The following is a 14,565-nucleotide window of genomic DNA, read 5'->3' as shown; positions in this document are numbered from 1 at the left end:
ATACTATAACTGAAGTGTAGCATTCTCTCCTCTGAGCTGCAAAATTGAAACCAGGCAGCCATCCCCAGATGACTAAAGTTGACATACCTGCCATCCTTATGATACATTATAAAGTATCTAAATCAGAGATTTGGAATATTATAATACTTGGAATTTTATAATGGAGTAAAATCAGTTCATTCTGAAAAACATACCTGATGATATTTGTCTGGATCATCAATGTATCCCATAATGATACCAAGGCTTTTGATAACAGCTTCTCTTACCAAATCTGCCTTATCTTCCATTAACATTTGTTGCAACATTGAAAGAACCAAGGAGCTACGGATTTCTTTCTGAAAATAAACATGTTTTTACTATTTATTTACACCTAAGCACAGAAGTATAGAAAATAATATGACAAACATCAGTGTGGTCAAAATCCAGATTAAACAGGTATTAACATTTTTATTAAAAATGCTGACTAACTGTTGATGTACAGAGATTTTGCTTCAGACCTTTTTTTTTTGAAGACATAAAACATTACAGATACAGCAAAAATATCACTCATGCCCAAATCCCTTCCTCTCTAGAGGCAGTAATATCTACTTTGAATTTGGTATTTATTAATCATCTCTCAGCATGTTTTTTATATCTTTACTAAATATGTAAAAATCTCTCAAATCCTTGCAGTTCACACTAGGAGGCACTTTCAACAAATCAACAAAGTCTACTACAAACTCTACTACAAATGGACAATGACTCTCGTGTCACTATTTGTTTCACTCAGAGAAGAGCACTGAGAGTTTTAACAGGAGGAACTACAAAAATCTCTCTGGCAATTAGAAAATTTGTCTGGGATATGGTGAGGAAACCTAAAATCCTGGCATTCCTATTTCTTTGAAGAAGTGGGAAAAAAAGGATAATAAAATAAGAGAGTGAACTTTAAAAGTACTTAAAAATTGCATTGCTCTTTTTTATGCTAATAGTTAATATAATGTACACCCACTGCTGTGCCTTGATTTCACACAGAATATTTTCCAGTTATGATAAAGAGTGTTTTAGCTTCATGGCTGAGGTTAGGATAAAGAGCTACCAATATACAAATTCATGCTCCTCCTCTCCTACTTGTACTAATATTGCAATTTATAAAATTCTTAAAACATAAACTTGTTTAGGTCCTTTTTACATACAATAACTACGATAAAATAAAAATAAAGGCAGATGACATGGCTATTTGCATAAATTTACAGCATGATTTGGTATGTAGAGCAAGGCTTGAGAGACATTTTTAAAAAGTCTGGTTTTCACTTTTTAGAAACAAAAATACATGCAATTTTAGCATATCTTAAAACACATTTAGGTTGGTGAATATATAACATCTTTTGGTACAGCCTCATTTATTTACTTTTTAGGCTAAAAATTGCCCTAAAATATCTTAAACTATTTAAAGGGACTTGTTGGTTGGTATCCACACAAGGCAATATGACAGAGGAAAATAAGCTTCAAGTGGGCATTTGCTTTATGCTGATTTAGGCAAGGGTCAACTGTGGCAATCAGTTTTAGTATGCCACAGGGACCCCACCAGAGCATTGGTCAGGAGGCATTACTCTATTTAAGTCATGAACACACTGAGAAACTGCCAATGTAGAGACATTTTGCTGCTATCAGTGACAATGGGGTACGCAGAAGGCAAACATAGATCCGCTGAGGAAACATTGTATCTATTATTAATACTGCTTAGTATTCTAGGATCAGAGTAGAACAGCCTATTTATCCTTTGAGAGCAAGGGATGCTCATCTGTCTTGGAACAATAAATAATAAGATGCTCAAAACCATTTGCATCAATCTGTATGATTTATCACAACAATAAGGCATTTTCTTCCACTAGAAAAACATTAAAAAAATTTCACCGTGCCTAGTTCCTGGTGAAGGTATGGGAAAATAAAAACTCCAAGGTACTGTTAGTAGGAGTATAAATCCACTGGCAATGAATGCTGTCTACTTGGTTTCCTTGAAGTGACATTCTCACTCCATCCAATTTCATGAAAATGTCTGCCACATACCCAAGTCTGAAAAACCAGTTTGACTGTAAGTGTTTCTGTGAAGTAAAATTGGTGTCCCATTAAAAAAAAAGCAGCTAGTTGAGCTCATAACTCAAACAACTGCCTAAGTGCTTTTCCTGCAAATGGCTATAATTTTTCAGTATGCAGCAAAGGGTTTTTATATGAGTACTTTCTATTTTGTCTCACAGAATATTAAAAAGATGCATGCTTCACAGGTCAAAATTTAGTAAAATAAATAATTTTACTGATTCAGCAAGCTCCTTTTTAGGTGAAATTGGCTTTTTCTGCAAAAGCATGGCAGTAAAGAATACAATCATTATTATAATAGTACATTTGGGTGCCACTGCCCTGATTAGTGCTAATGCAGCAGCATTTTTGCCCATCCCTGCTTTTGCACCAACAATACAAATTTCAACACAGTGAAAGAGACAAAAAGTGTCTTATTATTATGAAAACAGTTTTCTCCTCATGGACCTTTTTGGAAGGATCTCAAGGAAACCCCCAGGGTCCTCAGACCACACTATGAGAACTGCTGATATAGTTTAATATATTTATACTCATCCAAAATCAGTGGTAATGTACCTATGTGTCTGCAATGCCATACTGTACTAATGTGAGTCTCTTTTTTGGATCATCTCTTTTCTTTATTAAGACAGCACATCTAGGAGACATTTGGATTAAAATCTATAAGACACTCAAAAAAAGGTTTTTCTATTATTGGAAAAATAGTTTAAAGAAAAAAAAAAAGACAATCTTACAGGAAGGTAAGGTGCCAGTGCTCCACAGGATTCTGCCACAAGCAGTCGTCTTTCTGGGTATTTGTGATTAATCTAGAGCAAAAAAAATAAATAAATCAAGCATAAACAGCATACCCTCCCTTCCTTCAAAAGAGAATTACATTTCACCACAAATCCTGTTAAGAATGCAATAAAGCTTCTTCCTTTTCCACTTCTGGGAATCCCTGTTTGACTATACCTGGATCGGGAATGAGGGAGTGAGGGAGAACCTAAATATGAGGTTACAGGGGTCATCTGTTAAAGAAAAAAGGGAAAACCAAGATGAAAATTTGGCAAGGTATCTAGAGATTATGGGCTTGCCTAAGAGTAGGCCTTCCTTAGAGTAACAGGAGAAACCAGGACCTTTCCCTAGCAAGAGTAGAATATTTTTAAACTTGGAAAACTCAGCTTCTGGATCTTATAGATACGGTCTATAATATGTGCCAGTCTTCTTTCTTCAACCTAAGGGATGAGGAAGGAAGTTAATCAATGATTTGACCAGAACCCTTGCTAGAAATATGCTTTTATTTATAAAGTAAGCAGACTTCAATCCATTCCTCTGTTTGCAAATGCAAAATGATGGGGTTTTGCTATTGTGATGACTACACTGAACCATAACCAAAAATAACAAAAAAAATGACACATACTGGGTTTTGTTCCCATATGTCTTCTTCATAGAATATAAATCTTTCTTTGACTGGAAAAGGAGTATATTTGTTCTCATATTCCCATATGAAAAGGTGACATAATTCATTAATGTATTGGATGCCTAAAATTAAGAAAAAAAATTATATAATAATCTACTGGGCAACAAACTGGAGGTAGGCGGCTAGATAGATCCCCGATATCCAAGTTTACTCAGGTTACAGAAGAGGTGGCAGTAGAGATGTTTATAACTGACATCTTTGAATTAAATTTAATCCAGATGTAGTTACCTCAAAAGTAGAATGTTTGAATGTCAACGTATGGCTGTGCATAAACTTTCGTTTGCTTTTCTTTAGCTCAGTAAGTCTCAAAATTGAAATGCAAAAATCAATTGTATGTCTATATATTAGCAATGAACAAACTAAAAATAAAATTAAGAAAAAAGTCTATTTACAATAGCATCCAAAAGCATGAAATACTTAGAAATAAATAAAACAAAAGGGCAAAACGTACACTACTCGGAAAAATACAAATTACTGTTGAGAGAAATTTTAAAAGACCCAATGCATGGAAAGACATCCTAAATTCATAGAATGAAAGACTTAATATATAAAATTAGGATGGCAATACTCTCTAGATAAATCTATAGATTCAATGCATTGTTTATGAAAATCCCAGCTGGCTTCTTTGCAAAAATTGAAAAATGATCCTAAAATTCATAAGAAAATTCAAGGGACCTGGAACCGTCAAAATAATCTTGAAAGAGGAGAACCGAATTCAAGCAGTTAGGGTTTGTCTTTGGGATAGCAAAAATGTTTAAAAACTGATTGTAGTGAAGCTTGCACAACACTGAAACCATTAAATTGTACACTTGAAAAGAAAAAGACAAAAGAAAATGGAAAAAATATAAAAAATTAAATGTGCACAATTAACTGTATAGAATTGTAAATTGAAAGTTATATGGATATATTGTACCCAAGTTATTTTGACTCCAAGTGATTAGAACCTCACCCTAAATTAGTATGCACTGTAATTTATAGATGGTATAAGGGATTGTGACAGGTAGTTATTATTATATGTAATGTTTACTTTGTCTATTGAATCTAGGGTTTCTACTTTATTTTGGTGGAAAAAATGAATGCCCAAAGAACTTGGGAATAGGACTATAAATGACTAATACTTCAGTGATATTCCAGAGACTAATATTTTTCTTAAGAATAAGTGACTGTGCTATTGTAAATAAAGCCATGTAATTTGTCTCCATAAGCAGGAAACACATCTTTTTAAGGTGGAAAAATAAGGTGCTGAATGATCTAAACATTAAGTCTAGAAAGTCAATGATTCTGAGTTATACAGAGGACTGGAATTTTAAATTCAATGTAAAAGCAAAATCATTGTTAGTAAAATAATGAGTTCAAGTATAAATACAAAAACCTCCCACATCAAAGATTTACACCTTATATATTTGTAATATATACAAGTATACAATATATATTTCTATTTACACACACACACACACACACACACACACACACACACACACACACAATCTTCTTGCTGTTTCTTCAAGTATACTCCCACCTCAGGGCCTTTGTTCTTGTTGCATCTTAGTTCATTCAGATTCTTTCCTAAACATCATTGCCTCAGAGATTCTTTCTCTGACCACCCTTCATAGGAGAGCATTCCCCATCACTCTCTCACCCTTATCCTGCTTTATTTTTCTTCTTCATAATATAAATTACTACAAAATAGCAGACCATTTCTTTGTTTACTCATTTTCCCATTAGGATGTCTTTGTCTTTTGTTCACCACTGTATCCCTAGTGACTACCTCAGTACCTGGCACTGAAATTAGTGTTTCATAAGTACTTGTTGACTGAATGAATAAAGGAAAGCACCCCAGAGCATTCGTAAGTACTAATAAATCACTGTGCTGGGCTACAGAAACATCAGCATAATTTATATCCCACATATTTCTTAAACGCCTTTAAAAAGGAAACTATGTATCTTCTTAAGAAATCAGGCTATAATAGCTAGGTGAAAACTCAATACAGTTATTTACCTGTTCCCAACACTGTGGTAAAAGTTCAGCTTCTACACGTGTTGGTCCAACATGACGCGCAAATGCCACACAACCTGTCAGTATCATTTGCCTGAAAAATAATATAAAAAACGGCTTGTATTTGCATGAGAAAGCACAACTAGGACTAAGGGTTAAAAAAGTCTCATCTCTATAAATTCACATAGAGTACAAGATTTTTATACAATCAAATTAGACTTTTTATTTATTTATTTTTTTTGAGATAGAGTCTGGCTGTCTCCCAGGCTGGAGTGCAGTGGCATAATCTTGGCTTACTGCAACCTCCACCTCCCAGGCTCAAGCAGCCCTCCCACCTCATCCTCTCGAGTAGCTGGGACTATAAGTGTTCACCACCATGCCCAGATAGTTTCTGTGTTTTTTTGTAGAGACGGCGTTTCACCATGTTGCACAGTCTGGTTTTGAAAAATTAGACCTTTTGGCCCGGTGCAGTAGCTCACGCCTGTAATCCCAGCACTTTGGGAGGCTGAGGCGGGCAGATCATGAGGTCAGGAGATAGAGACCGCCCTGGCCAACATGGTGAAACCCCGTCTCTACTAAAAAAAAAAAAAAAAAATTAGCCGGGCGTGGTGGCACCCGACTGTAGTCCCAGCTACTCGGGAGGCTGAGGCAGGGGAATCACTTGAACCTGGGAAGCGGAGGTTGCGGTGAGCCTAGATAGCGCCACTGCACCCCAGCCTGGCAACAGAGTGAGACTCCGTCTCAAGAAAAAAAAGAAAAAAAGAAAAAATTATACCTTGCTAACAATGGCCTAAGCTGCCACCAAGAACCTAAGTTCTTTAAGATTAGCCACTCCAGCAGTGACAACACCATCTGTGACAGATGTTGTGAAGGGATTTCTGTATAGGTATGAGGCTGAATCTCATAACCTTCCAAATTACCTTCCCACACATACATTCTGAGATTATATATGCCCAATGCTTCAGTTTCTACACAACTTCACTTTCTAGACACTAAAACAACCAGTGATTATTCTCCCAGTGTTTCTATAATTAAAAACTACAGTATCATATTAATAAAGTGGTATTTTAAGAATCAGATTTTTTGGTATTATACCTAAGATAACTATGGTAGGTAGTTTCTGACATGACTCTCAATGATCGCATCTCTTTGAGTGCAGACTGGGCCTAGTGACTTGTGTCTAATGAATAGAATATGACCAAAGTGATAAGAGGTCAATTTTGAGATTAGGTTCCAAAAGTCTGTGATGTCCATCTTGTTGGACTCTACTGCCTTCTCAGCAGGCATGCTTAGATAAACCAAGCTGCCATGTTGGAGAGACCCACATGGGAAGGAATTAAAGGTGGCTTCTGGCCACCAGTCAGTGAGGAGATGAAGCCCTCAGACTAAGAATCCTTGAGGAACTGATTCTTGACAATGACCAACTGTGTGATTAAGATTAAAAGCAAACCCTTCTCCAGCTAAATCCCTTCTCCAGCTGAGATGACTATAGCCCCAACGGACCTTTGACTACAGCTTTGTAAGAGACCCTGAAGCAGAGGACCCAGATTCCTGACCCACAGAAACTGTAAGATAAAAGATGTTTTAAACCACTTTCTTCTGGGGTACTTTGTTACAAAACAATAGTTAACCAATAACTAATACATTATCTTCATTTGAATTGATAGATTTGTAACTAAAAAAAACATAAAATTCTAAGTAAGACTTTGCACTCTTCAGAATGAAGTTCCATCTAAAATGACTTTAAAATGCAGAATTTTAAGTTCTTCCACTTTGATTGTCTAACACTTTAAAACAGTAAAACCTGATGGGAAAAAAAGTATATTTTTAATAGATGTTTTAAAGTAGCCAACTTCAAGGAAAACCAAAATAGAATGCTTATGTAATTCACATTAATTATAAAATCAGTACTTTACGTCTAGGCATTGCTCATTGTTATATCTCAATATATGTCAATTTAAATTAACTGCAAAATGACTTTAAATTTCTATTTGGTTTGGTCAGATTAGTTACTAATTGTTTGCTTAAGTTAAGAAGAATAACAAAGCTCTTTGGAAACACTGGGGGAAACGGTGAGCCAATGTGTCTTCACTGTACATTGCAAGCAGCTTCTAATTCACCACAATCCTTGTAGTTTTTATCTATCTGATTCCCCTTTATATCATTACCCTCTGTTTCTACTTCTCAACTTTTCTTTTGCATTCCTATTTCCTTCTACTTTAGGAAGGCAAATAAAGTGAATGAAAGGAAAATGGAAAAAGATATTAGCAAGCACTTCAGCTGCCTGCTCCTAATGAACATTTCCTAATAGCTGATCATTGTTTTTGCCCTCATTAGTGTATTAAAATGAGAAGCCATACATGTTTGATAATTGTAATAGCTAAATTTTCTTAAAAAGCGTTTTGAACACTTACAAGAGGTGCACACTTGTATAGAGCTTCACATGAAATGACTATAAATCATAAGTCACCATCACTATACTAAAGACTACAAACTTTAATAGGAAAAAACATTAGGCCCCTTGAAATAAACTTCTTAGAAGAGTTAATATTGAAAATTTTAGAAAATATGACGGCTTTGAAATACAGTCCAAAACAGAAAAGATTAGAAGGCCCACAGGTTATTAACAACATTGGAAATAGGCTACTATGATAGTAAAAATAAATGTTGTTCCTACTTGTGGAAAATCACAGTACAAGGATTGTTTCATTAGTAAATGATACAGGTAGACATATGGTACCAATTATGGTTGCTAGAAAAGAATTGGTGAAAGCATCATTATTGAGCATAAAATTAAGCTTTTCTCGGGATACGATCAAAGCAGCCTGAGATTCATTAAGAAAAATAACTGATTATATCAAATATATTTTGCTAACCTAAAGTTTTTGCTTTTTTCATGTTATTTATATTATATAACACATAGCTAATAATGAATATATTAGTCTATTTTAGTAAATTTATATTTGTGTAAGGTGAAAGTAGATCACTTTCACCTTACAGAAAAAAAAAAGCGTGGACTTGAGTGTTGATCCCTGATGCACCTTGACCTGAAGTAAGGCTAGTAAGTACTTTTGGCCACCAGGTGGCAGCTGTTAGCTTTACATGCAAGGTTTATGAAAATAGACTCTAAGACCAGGTTTTTGCCTTGAAAATCTAAAAATGAAAATGTAATAATAACTATATTTAATTATTAACTAAATTACCAAGATAGGAAATGGTATTTTTAAAGGAAAAAATAAAATACTAATTTTCCTATAGTACCACCAAGTTGTCCTTGGGAAATTTTTAGTTTGCAATGAATGGTACTAATATAGTGATTTAATTTCCCTTATTCCTAGTTGACTTGCATGTTAGGGCTGCTGGTATAAATTAACCTTAGCTGGATACTGAAAAGAGCAAGTTTCTCTACTTGGTCAGGTATATTTTGATAATTGCAGAAAAGAAGTTTCAGTAATAGAATTTCAAAGTCTATAGAAGTGTTTGTATTCTCCTAGTTGAGGGGTTCTTTGTATTTTAAAATATAAGCTTGATATCTTTCATAGTTCATTCTTATTTATGATTTTCCAACATTCTCAGAAGAGGAAAAATTATATCAGTCAGAAAAGCAAGTACTGAAATTACATAAAGCTACAAAATCATTAAGTACAATTCTATTATTTTGCAAAGTATAAGCAAAAATCATTTTTTCATTAAGATAAAAATTATAACATAGGAAAACATTCAACTGCTTTATTTTATCCAATTGGTGCTTAATCCATCTATCCACCCATCCAGGATGCTTTGTTCAAGTCCCTACTTGTACAGCTTCACTTAATATTTAAATGTTTTATGATTTGAGGTAGATAGCTATCATCATTGCTTGATCAAAACCCATTCAGCTTTCTTCTCATGTGTCACCCTGATCTGTGGCCCTCCTCATCACTCTGAGTAGATGCTCAACTCAGGCATCTTTACTTGTGGGTATTAGACTCAGGACTAGCCAAAATAACATACCGTATCTCTTTAGCCACACAGCAATGGTTTACTGATAACCCAGTGATGCACAAATTCATATATTAAATATTTTATTTTTTTATAAAGCATAAACATTTTTTAATAAAGCATAACCATTAAAAGATCATAATGTATCTAGTTCATCTGTGGGAAAAAGGGGAATGTTTAGGAGAAATCAAGCATGGCATATAAAGGCAAAGCAGTATGTGAATTAGAAGTCCAAAGGTAACTAAAACAAATGAGTAATTGGAATAGTAAGAATGAAAATATTGCAGAACATTGTGGGTGAGGCCAGTGTTCCCTCTGCTTATTACAAAAATTTGGGCAACGTTTCCTCTGTTAATTAATACATAACTTCAAACTTCAAAGACTTTCATAATTAAAGAGAAACTGGGATTTAACTGTTGAGGGAGTTTACTGGAGCCAACTTTCTGAGGATTATTAACAAATTTGCTCATTTTAAAACAAAATGACTGGAATAAAATGTGTTGCTAAGTTCATCACAATGCCTTTATAAGGAAAAAGTTTAAAGGGTTGCAGCAAAGTTTACGGAGGAAACTTTATACATGCATTTTTATAAACATGTATATACAGGAGCTTTATACATGCATTTTTGTGAACTTACATTGAGTGAAGCAGTAATTAATGCCAAAATGCTTTTAAGGCTGTCAATCTGTTGATTAACACTATTCATACCATGCACAAAGGTAATGGCAGCTTTCCAAAACATTTTACAGAAAAGTCAGGGCCTGATATTGCAGGAACATATACATTTACATTTTGTCCATCAGGATGTATTATGAGCTATGGTTGAAGAGTTTCTGGAAATTATTGAAACCACAAAAGTTTGGGCAAACAATCCTTCAATCCTGCAAATGGCCAGTGAATACCGTGCTTTATTGATATGTGAAATTTATCAGCTCGGCACAGTGGCTCATGCTTGTAATCCCAGCACCTGGCAAAGTCCAGGCAGGCAGATCACTTGAATCCAGGAGTTCAAGACCAGCCTGGGCAACAAGACGAAACCCTGTCTCTACAAAAAATACAACCATTAGCCAGGCATGGTGATGCATGCCTGTGGTCCCAGCTACTTGGCTACTTGGGAGGTGGGAGAATCACCTGAGCCTGGGAAGGTGGAGGTTGCAGTGAGCCATGATTGTGCCTCTGCACTCCAGCCTGGGAGACAGAGTGAGACCCTGTCTCAGGAAAAAAAAAAAAAAATCGCTTATAATAAACATGGATTCAATTTTCAATAGTCTCAAATCTATTACTTTGTCTTCAACATAAATTTGAAAACACTGCATATTTTAATTTTTTTTTCATTCTGCTAGCTCTCCTTATTCCAGACAATCTTTTTCCTCTAAGCCTACATTTATTTTGGCTCCATTCTCCTGTTTATAATAGCCAGGAATTCTTGCCTCTTTTTTAGGCCACTAAATGATGTTTCAAAATGTTTCTTTGGTTCTTGTAATACATCATTTTCTAAGATATGCCTTTATTCTGAATTTAGAGTAACTGTTATTTTCACTGTAAAGTGCAATTTTTATGGGGCTCATGTGGATTTTGGTTTCTATAGACTAATCTTTGATAAGAAGAAATTGATCCAGCTCCAGTTCATTTTGAGAGAAAGGGAGGAGCCACAGTTAATGGCTTCACTCCCTGAGATATCTCAGATATATTAAAGACATAATAATTTAATGTCGTTCTGCTGAATCCAGGTGTGCTTTTCTCCTTTTCTCAACGCCCAGTTCTCTTGACAATGATGATAATTTATGCTATACAGGATTTGAAGTAGGCTGGAGTTTAATTCAGACAAATATCGTATATAAAAAAACTAACCCTTACTGTGTACTTCTAGGGCTATTTCTGGTCTTTATCTGGCTTTGTTTGTGATAAAACCACATATTTAAGGATAAAAGATATCATTTGCCCATCTCCCTCTATTTCTTGTTTACTGGGAATAATAATCTCTGAATGGATGAAGAAAGAGAAACACTGACAGCAGACTGAATGAGGACAGAAATAACTGACTGCCTTAGATAAAAATAATGGCTGTCTGACTTAGTGCATTCTACTTACTTGTTAGCCAACTGAAACATACTTTTCTCAAAGTGAAAACTACAAGGGCCTTCCTAATAGAGCTTCATTAAATGATATTAGAGTAACAGAAAATTTTCTCAGGCCCTTCAAATGGCTGACTGTTAACTGTGTTTTTCACAAATGTTTAGTGTTTATATCTTAGTTTTTTATACTTTTTAAATGTCTTCAATAGCAAATTCCAATTTGGGAAGGAAATATCAAGAAATGTCAACCTATCACTACCTTAAACCAGAAGTTCTCTCTCTCAACAATCAAGATTGAAAAAAATAAACTCCACTTGCTTTCAGTTGGGAGAATCTCACTGTAAGGTAAACATTAAAAAGTAGCTCAGAATCTAACAGAATAGAATATATATACACATATTTCTAAGAAAAGACGCTTACTGAGATTACATGAATATCAAAAATTATTAGGCAATAAGCCATACAAACAGAATTCTTAAAAAGATAGAAAGTTTTGTGTATAAAAACTGCACCTCAATGTTTTACGATAAATGGTTTGATGCAAAATCTGCATTTTGAGCTTTTATAGGTCTTAGGATTCATAAAAAATATCACTGAGAACATATACAGGCAGATGAAGTTGGGCTTTTTTAAAAAAATCTGCCTTACTGAAGGTTAGTTAGGTTTCTATTTGGAGAACATTAGAATGCCTGAGGGGGTCACCAGGTATGTACAATTTGCTGCTATGCTACCTATCTGGAACTTGTTGCACTTGGAGAGCAGAGGAGAAGAGCCGTTTTCTAGTCAACAGATGATTTGGCTAGAATACATTCACTCCCTCCCCCTTCCACTAGAGGGTTTGGGCATAATCTAATCATCAATTACTAGTAGATGCTTGTCTACTAGAAAGCAGAAAAGTGTATTAATGGCAGATTTTTTTCAGACAAAAGTAACTATCTTGCAATTTTCAGAGAACATTTACATTTTTACAAGAAATTGAATTAGTCCCTCAAAAATACAAGATAATTTAGATAATGGCCTTCAGTACCTATATCTGTGTAGCAACCTTGAGAAACTTAACTTTTTGTTTTTTTTGAGACGGACTTTCACTCTTGTCTCCCAGGCTGGAGTGCAATGGCATGTTCTTGGCTCATTTGCAACCTCTGCCTCTTGGGTTCAAGCGATTCTCCTGCCTCAGCCTCCTGAGTAGCTGGGATTACAGGCGCCCACCACCACGCCCAGCTGATTTTTTCGTATTTTTAGAAGAGATAGAGTTTCACCATGTTGACCAGGCTGGTCACGAATTCCTGACCTCAGATGATCTGCCTGCCTCCGCCTCCCAAAGTCCTGGGATTACAGGCATGAGCCATGGCGCCTGGCCGAAACTGAACATTTTGAGAAGGTATAGAATTCCTTTTCAAAGATTTAAACAATGAGACTTGTCAGTAATTATAGCAGGTGATAAGTAATCAGGTCTTAGTAGGATTTATACATATTTTAGAAAGCTATTTTTGTTTTAGGTTTTATTTATTATGCATAAGGTAAATTTCTTAGAGTGATTTCCCTATTATCTGTTTTTTTTGTTGCAGTAAATTCCAGGTCCCTTTAAAAAGAGAAGGTGAGGAGGAAAGGGAACCTGATGATGACATTATAGTTTGAAATGCATTTTCGTAGGTTTTGAAACCATGAAGGAGTGAATCCATGATGGGGGAATGCTCCAGCGCTGCTAAAATAGATACTGGAAGGAAAGAAGGCATTTTAGATTCAAATGCTAATCCTGATGCCTAATTAGTTAAAATCAGTAAGTCACATTGTATTTCTTTTTCACATATGTAATCATACCCACCTTTGCTCATCATCTGGCCTCTTGATCAAATTGAAAAGTATGTGGAGAAGCTGATCTCGCTCTTTAGGCTCAGGATGTAGACATGCTGTACACAATATGAGGGGGATCAACTCCTAAAGAAATACGAGGGTGGAAAAATTCAAATAAAAACACATTGCAGAATATTCTTTTTTCCTCCACAATATTCTTAAATGGACATTTAAAGTGAAATAAACCTCAGTAAACAAAAGGGTAAATTTTAATTTTGTAAGGTTGGTAATTCAAGAGATGTTTACACTAAAACGTTTATGTGTTGGTTGTGGAGGAAATGTAAATCACAATGTAACAAAAGTTGCTTAAGATTCAACTAGCCTTGGTTTTTAATCTAGTACTTCCCAAGGGCCCACTAGCTTTTACACTAAATAACATTCCATCATGTGACATGCTGACACCGTAATTTTAATTCTAAAAGTGTTTTTAAACAAAAGTTGCAGAAGTCCACTATAATTTAAAACTTAAAAAGATAATAAAAAATAAAGACCACTTTTCCCACTTCTGTAAGGACAATATAATGTCCTTATGATTAGATCTAACAATTTTGTACCCTTAGCACTTGACCCAGTGCCTAACTAAAAAGACCATTTTCATAGATGTTGAATTGTCTCAGTATCAGTAGAAATATTTGATGTTGAAATACAAAATTTTAACAATATTTTGTTTTCTTCACATTCAATATGCAGAGGTAAATTCAGCATTTTGTAGGAAAGTAAGAGCTAAAAGTTTATTTCTAAGAGACACTTGAAATTAATTACATTGTTTTACATTTTAATTAAGATGAAATTCTTAACACTAAAGTACATTCAAAATACATTAATGTTTTTCATTTGAGTGGATTTTCAAATCCAAGAAGAATAATGGTCCAAAAGTAATAAAATATTTTTGCGAGAAATCCTCTAAGTTATAAAAACAATATTTTGTAAATACAGTAAAGAAATCACTATGATGTAATTAAGAAGGGAAGAATGACTACACCCATTTCTTTCCCATCTGTCTTGATACTCACCGAAAACTGTTAAGAGATTTAAAATAGAAATTGATCACTATTGTAATAATGCATGATTATTACTGTCTATAATAATATAACCTAACAAAAATAATAATGTAACCTGAAGAAAAGCAT

At 34.6% G+C, this 14,565-nt stretch overlaps 1 protein-coding gene across 30 annotated transcripts in view, besides 2 other annotated features; it reads right to left on the bottom strand.

Moving 5' to 3' along the window:
* Positions 1 to 14,565, bottom strand: part of RELCH (RAB11 binding and LisH domain, coiled-coil and HEAT repeat containing) — a 122,995-nt gene that overhangs the window by 51,967 nt on the left and 56,463 nt on the right. For 26 of the 30 annotated variants that reach the window (NR_144408.2, NR_144406.2, NR_144412.2 and 23 more), the window contains 4 exons: positions 13,407 to 13,519; positions 5,529 to 5,619; positions 2,805 to 2,876; positions 195 to 335 (listed from right to left, as the gene is read on the bottom strand). Coding sequence is in view for 20 of the 30 variants with exons in the window: in NM_001346230.2 (NP_001333159.1) it covers positions 195 to 335; positions 2,805 to 2,876; positions 5,529 to 5,619; positions 13,407 to 13,519 (417 nt within the window). In the remaining 10 variants the exon portion in view is untranslated. Of the gene's footprint in view, positions 1 to 194; positions 336 to 2,804; positions 2,877 to 3,469; positions 3,592 to 5,528; positions 5,620 to 13,406; positions 13,520 to 14,565 lie in introns of all 30 variants that reach the window. The other 4 variants (NR_144403.2, NR_144409.2, NR_144407.2 and 1 more) reach the window with 1 other exon arrangement.
* Positions 7,504 to 7,673: an enhancer, noted in NCBI's record as "experimental_48897 CRE fragment used in MPRA reporter constructs". NCBI's record gives its function as "activates a minimal promoter by MPRAs in K562 erythroleukemia cells, with activity observed for both the introgressed and non-introgressed 18:59917928 variant alleles {active_cell/tissue: K562}" and the evidence as "EXISTENCE:reporter gene assay evidence [ECO:0000049][PMID:34662402]".
* Positions 8,639 to 8,688: a silencer, noted in NCBI's record as "silent region_9503". NCBI's record gives its function as "represses an Ori minimal core promoter by ATAC-STARR-seq in GM12878 lymphoblastoid cells {active_cell/tissue: GM12878}" and the evidence as "EXISTENCE:reporter gene assay evidence [ECO:0000049][PMID:35858748]".

This window comes from Homo sapiens, chromosome 18 (assembly GCF_000001405.40).
Source record: "Homo sapiens chromosome 18, GRCh38.p14 Primary Assembly".
Taxonomy (NCBI): domain Eukaryota; kingdom Metazoa; phylum Chordata; class Mammalia; order Primates; family Hominidae; genus Homo; species Homo sapiens.
The sequence above is the reverse complement of the archived record's forward strand: the minus strand, read 5'-3'. Positions and strand labels throughout refer to the sequence as shown.